Source organism: Homo sapiens, chromosome 5, assembly GCF_000001405.40.
Source record: "Homo sapiens chromosome 5, GRCh38.p14 Primary Assembly".
Taxonomy (NCBI): domain Eukaryota; kingdom Metazoa; phylum Chordata; class Mammalia; order Primates; family Hominidae; genus Homo; species Homo sapiens.
The window spans coordinates 147409407-147428517 of NC_000005.10; the positions used below are offsets into that span (position 1 = coordinate 147409407).

General features: G+C 41.1%; 1 protein-coding gene across 3 annotated transcripts in view; it reads right to left on the reverse strand.

Moving 5' to 3' along the window:
• DPYSL3 (dihydropyrimidinase like 3) overlaps positions 1–19111 on the reverse strand; it is a 119261-nt gene that overhangs the window by 18599 nt on the left and 81551 nt on the right. For all 3 annotated transcript variants that reach the window (NM_001197294.2, NM_001387.3, XM_011537574.3), the window contains exons 2-6: positions 15469–15557; positions 9041–9225; positions 6303–6467; positions 4190–4251; positions 3202–3282 (exon numbers count right to left, since the gene is read on the reverse strand). In NM_001197294.2, coding sequence (NP_001184223.1) covers positions 3202–3282; positions 4190–4251; positions 6303–6467; positions 9041–9225; positions 15469–15557 — 582 coding nt within the window. The remainder of the gene's footprint in view (positions 1–3201; positions 3283–4189; positions 4252–6302; positions 6468–9040; positions 9226–15468; positions 15558–19111) is intronic.

The following is a 19111-nucleotide window of genomic DNA, read 5'->3' on the forward strand; positions in this document are numbered from 1 at the left end:
GCCACTCAGGAGTTTTGATGTTTTAAATCTATGGCTTAAATGAATGGATTCAAAATTTAACGAAACAAAATAGTGCCTCCAAACAGCATTACCTAAGTTAGTGTCTTGGTGAAATTCTGTTTAACCAAGTTGTGGACATGGCAGAAGAAGTGCATGTCCCTTGTGGTTGATGGCAAAATTCCTCAGACTTCTAGCCTCTTTATGGAAGAAGCAGGTAGCTGGGCAGTGAGCACACACACATGAACTGATTGGAACTGGCAGAAATCCCAAGCCACCATTTCTTCAGCGTTACTGGCATTCACTCTGAAATTATTAAGACTGGTCCCTATGAACCTCTGCACCAGCAGTCCTGGCCTAGTGACCTGGGAGTACTCTGGTAATGTGTGAGACACATAGGAAAAATGGTGAATGCAACAAGCCTAGTCTCACTTTGAAACTGTGAGGCATTTAGAAAGGTAAGGATTCTTACCACCTGGAAAAGAACGTTCTGTTTTTTGTTTTTAGTAATAGAAATCTCTAAAAGAGGAGTAGAAAGGAAAATGCACATACTAAAAGCAACCATGAGAAGTGAAATGGTCACTATCTCCAGCTCTACAGAAAACAAAGAAAGGTTACAGGCTTATTTTTCCAGAAAAGCACCTCCACTTTTCATTCTTACCATTCTCACTTATTGAAACTTGAACTGAATTAAATTTCTTCTAAAGTCTAGTGAGTTTCTACTCTAAATTGCCTCCAGTCACACAAGGGTTAAGGTCTCCAACTAAAGAATCTCTGTCTTAGGTGACACTTGTGCTTCTGTCTTGTTTGAGTGCACCAGGATAATGCACAGGACAAAGCTAAGCTCAAGAGGTGGCTTCCAAGCACATTTAAATCACCAGGGGATTATTTTCAAAATACACTTGCCTGAACTCTGCTACTGACTTTTCCTAATTCCAGAATACCTGGAATTAGAAAAATTTGGTGATTCTAATGCACTGTTCAGGCTAGGAAGTCCTATTCTGAAGCCATGATGTCCCTATAGCTGAGAGATTAAGAACAGCAGTAAAGCCCCACTGATGCTACCTTACATGGGGATAGCAGTGGGCCTGTTGTGGCATTCATCACAGCTACAGTTACATCACAGTTTGGGTCATGACACAACTGTAGCTTGGTCCATGAGGAAAGGAACCCTGTCTTTTACATCTTCCCCGTCCAAGGCTTGGCGTATAGTAGATGCTCAACAAATATTTGTTGAACGAATGGCTAAAGATGCTGTCGTCTTAGACTGTTTTGCCAACTTGAAATTCTTGAAAATCATCCTTGTTTGTACCCAAAGGCAAAGATTCCTCTCTCATATACTCACTTTTGAATAAGTGCAGCAAGAAATTCTGAGTATAGCAGCTGCCTTCATTTAAACAATGTGATAAAAATCTTTCTGCTCAAGCTGAATTTAATAAACACACACAATAAACTCATCCAAATGGAAAAATGCCCCTACTCTTTTCCTGACTGAGAACAGATCTTCCCAAGGTAGGGAAATAGCAGCGGGAGGGGAAACCAGAGAAACTTCCACTCTAAGGATTCACAAGAGGAAATAAACTGAGAACGCAGACTTTGGATTGAAGTCCATCTGCCTCCTCAGGGGCTAGAATTAACTGCCAGAGAGTTTGGTTTCCAGGGAAGCTGAAAGCAGGGCTGGGACCTCTGGCTGCTGCCCTGAAAACTTGGATAAAGGGAGGAGTACAGTTCTAATATCACTGGGTTGCCTCCCACGGGACCAAGGCATTTGGGCTCTCTAAAGAAAATGATTTCATTATCTTTGGGTGTGTGGTGGAAGTGGGCGAAAGTGCTGTCAGGGTCCTGACTAATTAGCCTCCTTGGTCATGGTGAGAGGAAACTGTACACTTACCTCACCTCCCCCACCAGCAAGACAACATGGAGAGTCTGAAATCACAACAGCTGGAGCCCTGCATGGCTGGGGTACTGCCTGCCCACAAGCCTGCAGCTGGGCTTGGGAGGCAAGGGATCCCAGATATGCCATCTCTGAGTAAAGATACCCACTGAGGTATATCACCTTAGGGGCAAAGATTTCGTTTTCCTAGTTATTTGCTGTGATCCTTGGGCCAGTGACGTAATCTTTCTGAGCCTGGATGGTCTCATGTATAAAATAGGGAGGATGATAGCATCTTTAAAGGGTTGGGTGAAAATTAAATGAGAATACACCAGAAAATTTACTAGTTCCTGGCACACAGTAGTCAGTGCTCACCAAACGGCACCTGCTATCAGGAAACTAATGGTCCGAGATGAGGGGAGGCCTAGACATTGTTCCTACACCCCTGCTGACCACATTCACCAAGTTCTGGTCAACTTCTAAAATAAAAGCACAGCCCAAGTATTAGTGAGCTATGGAATGCATCTGTTTTGGCTCACTTCAATAGCTACTGCCTGGCACAAAGTGCTCAGGAAATACTCTTTGAAGGAATGAATAACGGTTTCTTGTTGCCAACATTATCAAATGGATGAAGAAAGCTCACTCTTTTTTTTTCGGGCTGTCTCCTCCTAGCAAAGGCCAATCTTGAGATGTTTCTGAGAAACAAAACCCTTCCTAAGACACATCTGTCCATCTATTCCATTAAGCAGCCCAGGAGATGGAGAGATAACTGCTTCCTTCTTCCTTACAAATGATCAATTTGGGCCTTGGGGCCCTCACTTTCGTCACTCTTTCCTCAAGTTTCTCAATATGATTTCTAGGAATCCAGTGAGACCTTTGCTCCTCATGAGACCTAAATTCTCTATTATCTAAGGCTATGAGTTCCACAGACTTGGATCCAATCTCTGGCTTCTGAGAAATGCTGCCTTACGGTCTTTCTTTATGACAGAGAATGTCTTGTAGCTTTGACACATTTTCAGAAGAGAATCAGCAAATGCTCTCCCATTAAATGTTCCAATTTGAAATCCTCCTCTTCCAGGATGCCTTTTCTGATTCTCCAACAATGGCCAGCCCTCTTTCTGTTTTACCTCATCTTCTAGTTTCATTGCTTGTCTACATTCCCCTCTGTTTCTTCCACCTAAATTGTGAGGTACCTTGGAGCAGGTTCTGTCTTTAGCAAGGTACTTATGATGGTGCCTTGCACATATTGAGAGCTCAAGCAGCACTGAAGAAATGAAGAAGAAAATGGAATGCAGACCCAAAGCACGCTCCAGGGAGCTGCACGGTGTTACCTGGGCAATGATATCCCCATTCTCAGCATGAACTTGAGCAATGGCCCCCAGCTCTCCCAGGCAGGTGAAGATCTCATAGAGCTGAAATAGAAATGAGTCTTTGTCACTCTTGCAAGCACTTTTAGCAGCCCCACAGAAGGGCCAATTACCAGAGCCCAAGCTAAAACAGATGGGATAAAGCAGAGGAAATAAGTCACTAGGGCAGAAATATATATTACATAGGCATGACCAAAGAGGAGTGCTAGTCCAAAGAAATCCCAGGAAACTCTGACTATATAAAGAACCTACCATGTTCCCTAGGCTGGCAGAGCAAATATATAATAAAGTACCACCAACTCCTCTCCTCTGCCTCTAGCACACATTTTTAATGGAATTATTTTCCCATTGAGCTGAGAGACAGTCTCAGAATTCTTCTCAACAAATGCTCTAGAAAACCACTACAGCCAGGCCAGAAACAAACACAAAAACTGAAACCCTTATCTCTTAACCTGTGAAGGCAGACATACCTTCACCTCTAAGCAGGAGGCATGGGAATTCATTTCTTGTATTTCCTCTGAAAACATAGCCTCTGTCTAAAGCAAACGCATGTCATGAATTTCTTAGGGGGAGAGTCAGAGGCAAGGCAGTAGGATTATTCCAATCAGCAGAAGGCCCTCCTGGTCCTGCAGGCGAAGAGCCTCACACTTTCACTGGGCTTATGAGGGGTTTGGAGCTTGTTTGGTAGATGGAAATTTAGGCATGTTCCTCCTCTTGCCGTTTAAGAAAGCTGCTGCCAGTGGAAACTCTAGCTCCCTGTCTGTCTTGCCATGGGCACCCTGCCTGTTACCTTATTTAAAATGTAGCGTGGACTGCAAAGGCTTCAAGAAGCATTCTGGCCCAGTGGTCTCCCACAGTGACCACAGTGATTCATGTTACAAGGGCCAAGGTCATCAACAACAATAGGAAACCCATCCAGATACCCCAAACCACATAGCAAATGGGTTGTTACCTCTGTGTTAGATACTTGATACAAATCCTTATAAGCCATATAAACCATGAAGGAGTTAACCCCTGCAAAAGAGGGACAGGAGGAAAAACAAGAGAAAGACAACATTATCATGACTGTCCTCCATCCTTTGCTCCCACTTCCATCGACCATAGCACCCAGCTGCATTACCCGGGCTCCTGTCCAACATAAAGCAGATATTTATATTCTTCAAGAGCATTTTGCTCTGCCCACCCTTGCCCCATAAAATCAACAATTCCTAACAGATGTCATAGCAGAATGGTCTCTTCTTCTGTGCCTCTTTCTAAACTCCCCTGTCCAGCATCCCCTAGCCCAGAAGGTCAATAAACTTTGTTATTGCTCAAGGCAGTAGTAGGTGGCATTAAGAATCACTCTAGCACACCAGTTGTGTTCATACCCTGGGGGCTGCACCACTGAAATCCACCACATACTAGTTCAGTGAGCTTGGGATACTTAACCTCTCCAGACCTCGGTTTCCTCACCTGTTAAATGGAAAAATAACAATACCCTACTTCATAAAGTGGTTGTGAATATTAAAGGAGAGAATACATACAGAGCTCTTAGCACCAGGCTTGGCACATATTTGGTTTCCAATTAATGGATCTCCTGGGATCAGTTCATTTTACTGTGCAGGGTGTTGGATCAGAAAGGAGAACTAAGATACAGATCCTACCCTTAGGGAACTAATGGGCAGGTTTTACCTTGTGCTTAAATATCTTAAGTTGTAAGGTTTATATGTAAAGATCTATTTAGATCTCTCCCCAAATAAACTACTAATACAGTGATTTACAGAAATAGGTGGGACTGGGGAACTGAGAATCATTTTGAGGAAAGGGGGATAATTTTGGTCTCTAACCATTAGAGCCTTCTCAGCCCACAGTATTCTGGGCCAAAACTGGGTTGTAATTTGAGAACTTCCCTACCCAGAGTGGTTCAACTCAGGGCAGTCTTCCCAAACACTACCCTTCCCAAAAGCCTCTACATTATCCATGGAATGATCCAGGCTCTTTGATAAAGAAGTGAGTGTTAAAGCCGTTCGATTTTCTACGCCGGTTGAGATGCCCAGTATAAACGCAAATACAGAAAGAAGGAGTTAATCTCACATTCTGTGTCACCAAAGATTTTGCAGGGCTTGTGGGGTAAGGAGGGGATGGAAAGAAAATATCATCCTCTGAGGGGGTCATCCTTTCCCTGCCATCCCAGGGCACACTCTTCCAGTGGACTCCTAGCATTTGTGTCTAGACTACTCCTTTGGTAATGGTTCTTGCACACTATGACATTTATTCTGTTGTTCTTCATGAGCCTGTTTTCTTTTGCCTTGGGTGTTCAGCAAAGGCCATTACTTACACTTCTCTAAGACCCCCAGGCCGCCTTACAATGCTGAGCACATTGTGCATATGTGTGCCTGTATGTGGGGGGGAGGGGTTTGCAATATCTGTTGATCAAAAAGAAGCAGAGAATGGAGGAATCTAAGAAGACAGTGGAACCTAAATCATGTACTCACTGAGAGGACACACGCTGGCAAACACACAGAAACATATATACATATACATGAACATGTTTTCACACCCTAAGCTCCCAGCCTGAGTACCAATACATCCTTGCTCCTAGAAATGCCTTAGCCTTGTCTAAGGATGCCATTGTTATATGATAGTAAGGGTTTGATCTCTACAGCAAAAATGATACAGGTTAAAAATCCCTAATCTCATAGGTCATACTAGCCATACAACCTTATGTAAGATTAGTTAGCCTCTCCTAACCTCAGTTTCTTCCTCTTCAGAATGGGCAATATTGCATGGAGGTGAAGAGCATAGAATTTGGATACACCTACTGCTTACTAATGCTATGATCTTGGGCTGCTTATTCTGAGCCTCAGTTTCTCCATCTGCAAAGTGGGGAAAACAATCACTATCTCATGGGGATCCTGTAAGAAGTAAATAAAGTGCCTGGAACATTGTGTTATCCCTACATCCAGTGCTCACACTCAAGGTTCCAGGCTCCAAGTAAAAGACAGTGACTGAAATGAGTGGATGGTGTTGGAAGGACTGGCAAGAAGAAGCTAAGAGAGGAGGGAGGACGGCATGTCCGGGCTCACCTTTGTCCTTGATGAGGTTCTGCACTTCCTGCTTGACGCTGTCATTCCAGTGGGTGATGTCCACATGCAGGGCATAGTCACAGCAACTCTTCCCATCAGCCCACTCTCTCCATTTCTCATAGGCCTCAGTCAGGCTGGACTCAGGCTCAGGCACCACATGGTCAACTGAATGACAGAGACCCCAGATGAGTCACTCTCAGACACAGCCTTTGCTCCCCTCTGCCCAGGCCTGCTCCTGCTTGCTTAGCTGTGACTGCAGAATCTCTATTTCCTGAGCATGGAATTAACTTTTGAAGGGGTTCCCTGATAGTTTCAAGAATGCTGATCACTTAAATGTCACAAAGCTATGTGATTTGGGGCAAATTACTAGCTTCCCTAAATCTCAGTTTTCTTTCCTTTAAGTTGGTGCCAAGTGGGGTGGGAGTCAGGGTGTTACTAGTGCCTTTCTTCTGAATTTATAAGATTAAATGGGAAAATGCATGTAAAGTACTTCATCTAATGCCTGGCTCATGGTAAGTGCTCAATAAATGTTAGCCATCAATGAGTGCCTACTATGTGTCATTATTACTAGTACTGTGGGGAGGTCACTGCTAGTGAAAAAGGTCAGACTCTCTTCCAAGGGCGAAAGCGAGGTTTAAAGCTAAGTTAGGGCATAAGACATTGAGGCTCTCTGCTATAGGACAAAGCTGGTGTCAGTTACATAAACCTGATACTGGGCCCGCAGATCTTATTTCCATGGAAACTTCTTGTCAAGAATCTGGTTTCTTTGAGGCCCAAATCTACTCTTTCACCCACAACCATGGATACATTTTTTTTAAACAATGGCATCTACAGTTGATGAAGAAAAGGCAAAAGTTACACTTTCATAGTTCCCCTGAACAGCTGAGGCAAAGTACAAGTAAGGACAAAGTACAGCTAAGGACAACTTTCCAGAGAGCAGCTCTGAAATATACATAAAAAACCCGGACATTTTTCAAACCTTAACCCAACATTTATTCCCACACCTACGAATTATTCCTAGGGAAATAAATGAGGCTGTATACAAAATTTTGGTTCCAAGGATGTTTGCTACTTATTTATCTAAGTGAAAAATTGGAAACAATTGAAATTGTTAACAATAGAGAAGTTAGGTTAAATACATAAATGCTTTATAAAATGGATGACTAGGAATCCACTTTAAATGTTGGGGTAGAACAAAAATGAATGCAAAGATACCCATGACATATTATTTAGCAAAAATGGAAGGTTAAAATATAATACATATACTGTGATCCTAGTTTGGCCAAATAGGATTTTAAAAATGTGTACAATATACAGCCAAACTCTAACAGCGATGTGGGATTAGGAGGTTTATTTTCTTTTTGCATCTCTAGGTTTCCTAATTTATCTATGAAGGACACAATTGCTTTTGTGGTTCTTTGTAAGTTTTACTCTCGTCACGGGGAATCTGACTTCCCTAATGCAGATGGCCAAGCATAATACAAATCTCAAGGATGCCAAACAGGTCCAACTCCTTGCCCAGATGGCAGAAAGCCAAGCCAAGATCACTCATTCCCGTAGTCTTCTATCAAAAGCAGCCTGAGTGCACTTATCGGAAAGCAAATGCGTGGAGCTACATTACTAATGTCTGGGGCAACACCAGGACTTTCATCAGCAGGCAGCTGCTGAGAAGTCAGCAGGCTTCCACCCTTCAGCTGGAGAATTGCACCCTGAATTGCACCTTTTATGGCTTTGGTGCAATTTTTCTGGGCTTCCACACCCAACTAGCTGAAGCTGAACCCTGCTTATGCTCCTGTCAAAAGGAAGTAAAAGACAGTGAATAATTCTACAGCTCAGGCTGTCCTGTGTTCTCAGGGGATGTATATGGTGTTAAAATAAACAGTGCTCTCTGCCTGACCAAGTTTGGGGCCAGCACTGGGATGGGGCCCAATTCATCAGGATTCCTTTGGGACAGGAAGGACTGCCCTGGAATGCTATTGGTTCAGTAATCCAATGGCATGCAACTCCCTAGATTTTTTTTGGAATTGCAATAGAAAAAACAAAACAAAACAAAATTTAAAAACAAGAGAAACCACTCCTACAGCTTGCCAAATGTTAAAGATATGAATTGGTCAAAATACAGCGCAGACCATAAGCACTAAATGCAAGTGGAAGTCAAAGATGCAGATGCCTCCAGCGCCAGTTGCTTTTATGACATGACCAGCGTCCCAGTAGAAGCTTTAAACCAAGCTCAGCGATTTTGAAAACCTCCACCAGACACAGCTTTACCCACTGAAGTTTACAAAATTTCCGAGAAATGTAATTCTCCATAATCCCTCTCTCCGTGATACTCCTTAGCTCCATTCACGCTGCTCTGCCCTCCTTTCTCAGACCCAAGTGGGCAGTTTTGAAATAATGTTTCATCTTCTATCCATAACTTTTTAAGTCTACTTTCACCTCTTACTAGCCCAGAGATGCTATTTCCTATTCTCCACTCATTGCAGGAGCCAGCGCCTGCTGCTAAGGTAGACAAGAGGGCAGGTGCTGCCATGACCAAGAGCCTCATGAATCTCCTCTTTAGTTACAGGGAGCTGCCCATTTCCTCAGCTCAATCTGCTTTTCTCAGGTCCCATCAGGCAACACATCTATAAACTGAACTGGGACAAGTATACAAGTTATAGTAAGAGAGTTCTGGAGATAACACATTCATTAAACACACACTTCTGAGAAACAGGAGTGTGTAAAATATGAAGACTTACTGATCATGGTGGTGCCACCTGCTAAGGCCGCCTTTGTCCCTTGGAAGAAGTCATCTACTGTGGTCATTCCCTTATATGGCATCTGGAAGTGAGTATGGACATCGATGCCTCCAGGGATCACCATCTTCCCATTGGCTTCAATGGTCTTCACTCCTCCAGGAACAATCAGATTGTCTCCAATTTGTCTGGTGAAACAAACAAACAAAAAAATGATCAAACACTTGGTCATTTAAAAGTGCAATTTCCAAGACAAATATAGTGGTATAAGGATTTTAAACAGTGTTACTTGTATTTATCAAATTAAACTTTGCAAGTGACTCACAAGCTTAGCAATCTATAAACAAAGATAGATATACACAGAAAACAATGTTTATAGTCACAGAATGATCTGATATGCCATTCGGTGGGACCACGTGTCCTGGTTTAGTACTATAACCCCAGGGGTCTGATAGTGTCTAGAATATAGTGTGTGTAATACTTTTTTCATATAAATATTTTTATTATTCCTTTCATTTTGTTCTTTAAGTTAAGGTGAGAAATAACATTTGGAGAAGAATCTAAAGAGTATAAAATAGTGCACTGTTAGAAGAGACTGAAGAAGATAATAGTAAATCATTTAAAGAACAGGTATGGGAACTCAGCTATCTTTTAAGTGGGGTCATCTTTGCTCCTAACAAAAGATTCTGTCTGGGTTATTTCCCACCTAAGTCTTCACTCCCAATTCCACCCTTTCCTGACCATTTATCAGCCAATCACAGCTGATGGCAGATTCACCAGGAGGAAGTCAAAGATGCAGATGCCTCCAGCACCAGCTGCCTTTATGACATGGTCAGTGTCCCAGTAGAAGCTTTTAGCCGAGCTGAGTGATTATGAGAACCGCCACTAGACACGGCTTCGCCCAGGAAGCTTCAGAGCATCTTAGGGAGGAATAGGGGGGAGACTCAGGCAGAAGGAAGCCAATGAGTATCTCAAAGGCAAGCCTCCAAGGAAAGTGACAAATACAACTAGTCCCCACACAATGCTGCTTATAGATCAGCCAGTATTGCTTGGCTTATACGTGGTATCACATTTTTGATTAAAATAGCTGGTTAAACATGTCCACTATGGATAACAGGGAGACCTATGATTCATAAGCCTCTATATGACCATTAAAAATCTCCTACCTTGGGATATCTGTACCTCACTGTCCATTGCATGAATATTTTCCCCTTTTATCCACGGACAGCCAAGAAAGACACTCTCTTGGGGCAGTAAGAAGTCTACCACTGGCCTCTCAAACTCCAAGTTCTGCGACTAAAATAAAGTATTCCTGACATCTCTAAGAGTTCAACTTTACCACATCACCACTGGGCCATTCCAGAGCCACCATAATTCAAAATATACTGGTAAAATGCAGCCTCTGATCCTAAGTCCATTCTAGTTCAGATACTGGCCAATTCTGTTCTCATTTTTCTCTCTCACAGGTTCTCCTTTAAGGAAAATTGAGAACCAAGGGCATGAAGAGTTGCCTGGCTTGTGTGTGTGTTTTCATCCATTTTGACAACTAGTTTAATACCAAGCCTGAAATAGAAATGGCTTCCCCCTTCGTCACTGCTCCACCAACGAAGGCCGCATTAATCCCTCAAGGCTCAGCTTCCATCTTCCCTCCTTCATCAAGTTTCTAGCAAAATCCAAGTCTAATAATGAGTGAGACTGGATGTGGGCTATCTGGATTCACAATCCTGGCTCTGCTAGCTACTAGCTGTATAACCTTGGCCAAATTACCTTACCATGCTTCAATTCTTTCCTCTGTAAAATGTAATAAAGATGCCTCCTCCATAGGGTTGTGCTGCAGATTAAATGTGAATATATGTTAAGCCCATAAAACACTGTTAGGTAACTAAGAATTCAATAAATGTCAGCTACTATAATTAATAATCAGTCCACTCCCTTCTCTGAATCTCACCTGTTCTATGAATATAATACTTGATATGCCACTCCTTGGTAATGCTAGGTCCTTTGCATATATACAGATATCTCAGTTCCCCTAAAAGACTAAAAGGTCCCGGGGGAAGACAGCATGATGATTTGGGCCTTGATAATGAGTACCATACCGTGTGACATAGCATGAGTCCAATATCTCAAAAAATTGCCTGGCACATAACAAGTATTCCACAAATATTCACAGACAGACAAACAACTATGTGATAGTTAGAGGAGGTTATTTCTGTTCTTATGCTCTGTGAGTTAAGAATGTTGTTGGAGACATACAAAATTTCAGGATTGAATTATGATCATTTAACTCAACCTTCTCTCCACCACCAACACACACATCTGATGGTTAAATTCCTCCTACAACATCCTTGGCAAGTGGCCTTTCAGTCTTTCTAATAGAAATGGCGAAAAGGAATCATCTTACACCTTCAACCCTGGTTGTAGATCCCTGAAGCACCATGTGAAGATGGATTCTAAACCTGTATTTAAGGCTCAATTGTAAAAAGTTCTGTGATCAGACAAGATCAGGCATGTTCAGGGTGGTATGGCCGTAGCGCCACTCCTATTCAACATCGTATTGGAAGTTCTGGCCAGGGAAATCAGACAAGAGAAAGAAATAAAGCGTATTCAAATAGGAAGAGAGGAAGTCAAATAGTCTCTGTTTGCAGATGACATAATTGTATATTTAGAAAACCCCATCATCTCAGCCCAAAAACTCCTTAAGCTGATAAGCAACTTCAGCAAAGTCTCAGGATAAAAATCAATGTGCAAAAATCACAAGCATTCCTATACACCAGTAATGGACAAATAGAGAGCCAAATCATGAGCAAACTCCCATTCACAATTACTACAAAGAGAATAAAATACCTAGGAATACAACTTACAAGGGATGTGAAGGACCTCTTCAAGGAGAACTATAATCCACTGCTCAAGGAAATAAGACACAAACAAATGGGAAAAAAATCCATGCTCACAGATAGGAAGAATCAATATAATGAAAATGGCCATATTGCCCCAAGTAATTTATAGATTCAATGCTATTCCCATCAAGCTACCATTGATTTTCTTCACAGAATTAGAAAAAACTACTTTAAATTTCATATGGAACTGAAAAACAGCTTGTATATCCAAGACAATCCTAAGTAAAAAGAACAAAGCTGGAGGCATCATACTACCTGACTTCAAACTACACTATAATTTCACAGTAACCAAAACAGCATGGTACTGGTAGCAAAACAGATACATAGACCAATGGAACAGAGCAGAGGCCACAGAAATAACACCACACATCTACAACTATTTGATCCTTGACAAACCCGACAAAAGTAAGCAACGGGAAAAGGATTTCCTATTGAATAAACGGTGTTGGGAAAACTGGCTAGCCATATGCAGAAAACAGGAACTGGACCCCTTCCTTACACCTTGTACAAAATTAACTCAAGATGGATTAAAGACTTAAATGTAAGACGTAAAACCATAAAAACCCTAGAAGAAAACCTAGGCAATACCACTCAGGGCATAGGCATGGGCAAAGACTTCATGACTAAAACACCAAAAGCAATGGCAACAAAAGCCAAAATAGACAAACAGGATCTAATTAAACTAAAGAGCTTCTGCACAGCAAAAGAAACTATCATCAGAGTGAACAGGCATGGGAGAAAATTTTTGCAATCTATCCATCTGACAAAGGGGTAATACCCAGAATCTACAAGGAACTTAAACAACTTTACAAGAAAAAAACAAACAACCCCATCAAAAAAATGGGCAAAGGATATGAACAGACACTTCTTAAAAGAAGACATTCATGTGGCCAAAAAACATATGAAAAAAAGCTCATCATTACTGGTCACTAGAGAAATGCAAATCAAAACCATAATGAGATACCATCTCACGCCAGTTAGAATGGCGATCATTAAGAAGTCAGGAAACAACAGATGCTGGAAAGGATTTGGAGAAATAGGAATGCTTTTACACTGTTGGTGGGAGTGTAAACTAGTTCAACCATTGTGGAAGACAGTGTGGCAATTCCTCAGGGATCTAGAACCAGAAATAGCATTTGGCCCAGCAATCCCATTACTGGGTATATACCCAGAGGAATATAAATCATTCTACTATAAAGACACATGCACACGTATGTTTATTGCACCACTATTCACAACAGCAAAGACTTAGAACCAACCCAAATGCCCATTGATGACAGACTGGATAAGGAAAATGTGGCACATATACATCATGAAATACTATGCAGCCATAAAAAAAAAGAATGAGTTCATGTCCTTTGCAGGGACATGGATGAAGCTGGAAACCATCATTCTTAGTAAACTAACACAGGAACAGGAAACCAAACACCGCATGTTCACACTTATAAGTGGGACTTGAACAATGAGAACATATGGGCACGGGGAGGCGAACATCAAACACCAGGGCCTGTTGGGGGTGGGGGAAAGGGGAGGGATAGCATTAGGAGAAATACCTAATGTAGATGACAGGCTGATGGGTGCAGCAAACCACCATGGCACATGTATACCTATGTAACAAACCTGCACGTTCTGCACATGTATCCCAGAACTTAAAGTATAATAATAATAATAATAAAAAAGTTCTGTGAACAATTAGTGCTGCCTATGATGAGCTCTGAAATGAGGAAGCATTTGGTAACAAATTTTTCCCATTCTCTCCAAATGAGAGAGCTTGCTACCTCTGAATAGAGCCAACTATATATAATAATTTTTTAGTTAATAGAAAAACATAAAATCAATTGTGGCTTATATTTTGAAGAAATTATTGTCATATATTTTGGTTTTCCCATTGTTTCCATTTTTCTTACTTCCAATATAAGAAAGTAATAATGTAAATTGGCAAGGTAACTATGAACAAATATTTTTGGTTCTTGGATTTGTTCATTCATTCATTCATTCACTCACTCATTCATTCAATGTTATTTGACTAATACATTAACTTTTAGCAAGTTATTTACACTCTATGTGCTGCTTTCTCCTCATCTCAGGAAACAGAATAATAATAGTACAGTACTTACTTCAGAGGGCTGCTGGCTGATTGAGAGAAAGCATGCAAAACATTTAACATTGTGCCTGGCACATACTACACACTCAATAAAAAGTAGCTCTTATCAAAATTTTTTGTGCTAAGTCCTGGGTTAAGAATTGGGATGTGGAATAAACAAGATATGTAAGATATGAGAGTAAGTAAGTCTCCTTACTCTCAAAGGAGACTAACAGTGTCAGAATTGCTATGATTGATGAAAGCACAAGCTGGTTTTGTTTGTTTGTTTGTTTGTTTGTTTGTTTTTGAGACAGAGCCTAGCTCTGTCACCCAGGGTGGAGTGCTGGAGTGCAGTGGCGCCATCTTGGCTCACTGCAACCTCTACCTCCTGGGTTCAAGTGATTCCCTTGCCTCAGGTCCCTGAGTAGCTGGGACTGCAGGCATACACCAGCACACCCGGGTAATTTTTGTATTAGTAAAGACAGGGTTTCACCATGTTGCCCAGGCTGATCTCATACTCCTGAGCTCAAGTGATCTGTCCGCCTCGGCCTCCCAAAGTGCTGGGATTACAGGCACTTAATTACAGCCGCCATGCCCGGCCGACCGCAAGCTGTTTTGAAAGCACACAGAAGGGAAAGCTAGCCTAGACTTGGGGGCTGGTAAAAAAAGTTTGCCTGCAGAAAACTATATGTAAGCCAATTTTTCAAAGAGAAGCAAGAGATCTCTTGTAACCAAAATCTTTAACTAGTCAATGAAGTTAAGTCATATAAAAATAAAACTAAAAGAGGCCAGACAGGGCTAATAGAATGGGTTGGATACACCCAGTCTTTTACAACATCTTTGCAGGGTAGTGTACTTTGTTTTTTGTGATGAAACACTATGTAAATCAAATCTTCTTTTAAAGTTCACTATGTAGGAAACCTACACATAAAACTTACCTGGCTGTGCCACTTACAGGCATCCAATAGTATACATTTTAGAATGTAATTATACATCCCTAATGAATTTATTTGCAAATCTTGCATGAAATCTATGTCCTATCTGTGCTCTGCCCATCTAAGTCCTATCCTTAAGTCAAGGTTCAGATTAAATACTCTCTCTACCCCAAAGCATTACTTCTAAATAAATTTCTTCTTCTTTGTACTTCTAAATCACTTATCCCGACTTCAACTCCTTTGATACCTATTGCACAAAGCCTTATATTTTTAGGGTGCTGTAATTTGTGCACATTTTCCAGTATCCTTAAGGATGATGGCCACATCTTCCACTTTTCCATGACCCGTAGAATGCTCATCAATACTTTCTGCCCAAATTTGCCCTCAGTATCTCACTTCATTCTGTTGATTAAATTAAGATTTTTTTCACTACATTCATGTAATCCAACCTCCTTTATGAGCCATTAATGAAGGAGGAAGTGCAAAACAATAAAGAGAAGAATTCCATATACATACTTTATTAAGCCATCTTCCATGTAAATATCAGCATAAAAGGACTGATCATCATTGACGATTCTGCCTCCCTTGATAAGGAGACGGTCACTCTAGAAAAGAAGGAAAACATGAGTTGTTATCACAGGTATGATTTCAGAGAAGAGTGATCTGCCAAGGTTTTCCCAATTCATTGTTCTAGATGTCTAGTAGAAACACATTTACCAAAGACATATGTGTGCTCAATGCACTCAACATTTAAAGTAGGTGTATTTGTTGGGGATCCGGTCTTTCTTGTTTGCCCTTAATTCAAATTATTCTAGGGTTTCACCTCTTGCTTCTGCAATGTATTAATATTATAGCCACCTGGAAACATATCTACTCAAGTAAGGGAGACATCCTTTATATTATATTTTCTGATTCAGTAGGCACTAAATATTTAAAGTGGGATAACATATGCCTCAGTGGCTAGTGCACTCTCTAGTACTCTGTTGACACTCAATGGTGATTCTCAAAAATAGAACTTATGGTTAGGCGTACAAGGAAAGAAGCTTTTAGAAGTATTTGCAATTACACGAGGGCATGCTCAGATCATGGTTATGTCTAAAATTCAGGATACTTACAAATGTATGCACAAGTACACACAATGTTGTAAAATGTGTAATAAAACCGCTAGAAGGGGAAAAGGCAAAGTATCTATAGTATTTAACTTACAGTGGAGAAATTATGCAGGATTTATATTTATCTCATTATACTCAATATTCCTCACATTTTCTGAGTGCATTTCTTTATTGCTTTAATTATGAGAAAAATAAAGCCTTTTTAAAAACTATAACTTAGATGAAATTTGAGTTACCCGACAGGAAACAATGCAAGTTATTAACAAAGTTAATGAAGTTATTAACAAAGTAAATATATACTTTATATATAAGTCAGGAGAGGGACAAATCAGTGTCAACCTGACAGATCACAAGTTTCATTAAATGAATGGAGCTTAGGCTGGAGTATGAGGGATGGATTAAGCTTTGTTGGGTTCATGGAGGAGAAAACAATTCCCAGGAGTCTGGCTGAGTGTAGCTACAGCATGAATAAAGAATGAGAGGGTGGACTTTGTGAAGAATTCAGCTTCACAAAGATATTTCAACTCCAACCATCCATCCATCCATCCATCCATCCATCCATCCATCCATCCATTCATCCATCCATTCATTCCCAGGTCATTGATTTTATGGAGCTTAAAGGGAAAGTCTGGCAATAGAGAAATAAAGTAAACAAAACAAATCAAGCAATCTAAAATTATATTACGTGTCACAAAATACAGGGGAGTGGGCTTGTTTAGAGGCTGGAAAATGTCTTTTCAGGGAAGAGCAATTTAGATGGAGGTGGAGGTGAAGAACTTCTCTAGGTAGAAGGAATAGCATGTGCACAAGCCTGGAGGTAGGACTAAGTTTTGTTTCTCTGAAAACCTGAAAAAGCTCAATGTGGAAGGAGCTTAGGGTTCAAGGAAGAAAGTGGCATTAAATCAGGTTGGGGAGGTAGGCAGGCTACTCATGCTGGGTTTGGTAAGAGTTTGAGTTTGAATGAAAATACACTGAGACATATGTCAGGATTGCAAGCAGAGGGGTGAAGACCTGTGTTGAGAAGTCAGCTCTAGAATGCACTGCTCAGGGCCAATGTTCTCCATGGCTATTTGACTATGAGGATTAAGAGTCACTGATTAAGGGGTCAAGGGCAGGGAGACATCATATGCAGGGCCAACCATGGTCATCATTCCCTTGATGCTGATTCTGTAGCCCCTGTTTGAGAACGTCAGCTTTCAAAGAGGATATAAAGTTTATGGAGGACGGAGCCCCAAAACCAGCTGACTTCTGGCTTCAGAAATGAAAGGGCCAGAGAATGAGATTTGAAGGTAGGCCCCATCTGGGATACAGAAAATTACCACCTAGCTTCCTCTGCTCTTCTAAGGTATTGCATAAGAAGAAATTTCATCATATCATATTGTCAGGGGAAATTATTTTTTTAAAGATACAGATCAATGAAGTGTTCCAAAACAAACTACATATGTGGCAAGGAAGATATGCCTATGAGGTCAAATACAAAGGTCCACCACACATGATATACAAGCCCCTCATGATCTGGTCTGTTAATATGTCCACCCTCATTTCTATCATGTGTGGCCTATATTTTAAAATGACAGAACATGCAGTTCTTGTCACATTATCAGGCTCTCTGTCCACTAGGCATTTACAAAAATGTTCTCTCTGCCTTCTCATATAATCACCTGGCATCTAGCAGTCATCTCCTTTGTCAAGGCTCCAAAGGGCTTTTCCTCCACGATGTGTGACCTGACCTTCCAGCAAATTTCACCTGCTCCCACTGCAAGTTAGTTGGAAAAATAACAATGTTCTACTGTAGCTGATTTATTTATTACTCAAGCTATCTCCTGACTAAACCAAAGACTCCTTTAGTCCTGGAACAATGTATCTTTTGATATTTCTACCTTAGTTCCTGGAGCTCATCCTAGACAGCTATTCCATATTGGTTGAATGAATAGGTGAAGGGTGGGACACAGGAGGTTGTATTATATCCACATGATGTAAAGGTGTCTGGGTCAGAATATTGTGGGAAGCGGCCAAAAATTAGAGTTTTGAGAAAATAAATGATGGCTTTGTGATATACTATTTTAACAGTACTGCAAAATTATATGAGGCAGTCCTAGGTCTGTGCTTCCAAACTAGTGTGTACACATTAGAAAAATACATATTCCCAGGCTGTGCTCTACATCACCAAATCTGCATTTTATAAGCTCCTTATGCAGCCATCAGGCAGCCCAGTACCAAGTCACAGACCAGCACAAGGAACCACTGCCCTCCTGCCTGCCCCCAACCCCACCCCACAGTTCTATGTGTGTCCAGGAAGGTGACAGAACATCTTCAACAGGAACTTCATAATAATAACAATCTTGGTAACTGTAAGAGTACCCTCCCTCTCATAACTCAATGCTTTCCTGATTTTCTTCATCTTCCCAGCAAAGAACTGAACTAAACTGGGTTTTGGAAAGGGGCCAGTTTCTGTCTGAACTGAGACCAGTTATGAAATATGACCAGCCTAAGGACACGCAGCCCTGAGCCACTGGTGTGATCATCACTCCCTTCAACAAGCATGAAATGTCAGCAAAGGGGCAAATGCTATATCCAGACCTGTGAACATCAGGGGGATAGTAAGCACTGATCCAAGTGGAATTAACACCATTGAGATGGTGTCATTGGAAACTTTTCAAATAGTAATTAAATAAAATCTTTCTGGCTCAATAATCAGGAATCTAAACAGAGCCCAAAGATGAATCATAGGCCTGGTGTAGGTTTCAGAGAAGAGATTAAGAAGAGTTTTCTCCATGGGCTACAAATATTAACATTATTAATTTGTTTTCACCATGCAGAGCAAAAATATCAAAACCTGAACTTAAAGAGCTCAAATAAATGCTTCCTCTATGGGTCTTCAGCTTGCCCTGCTATCCTCCCCAATTTTAACTCTTTCCATGGAAGGGGGATCCACTATAAATGGCGGCCTAGGCAAATCAGTCATCAACAAAGAGGAATCTGAAAGGCAATTCTTAGGCTTGGCACTGGGGAATGTGAGCGTGGGGTATGACATAACCACTGACCAC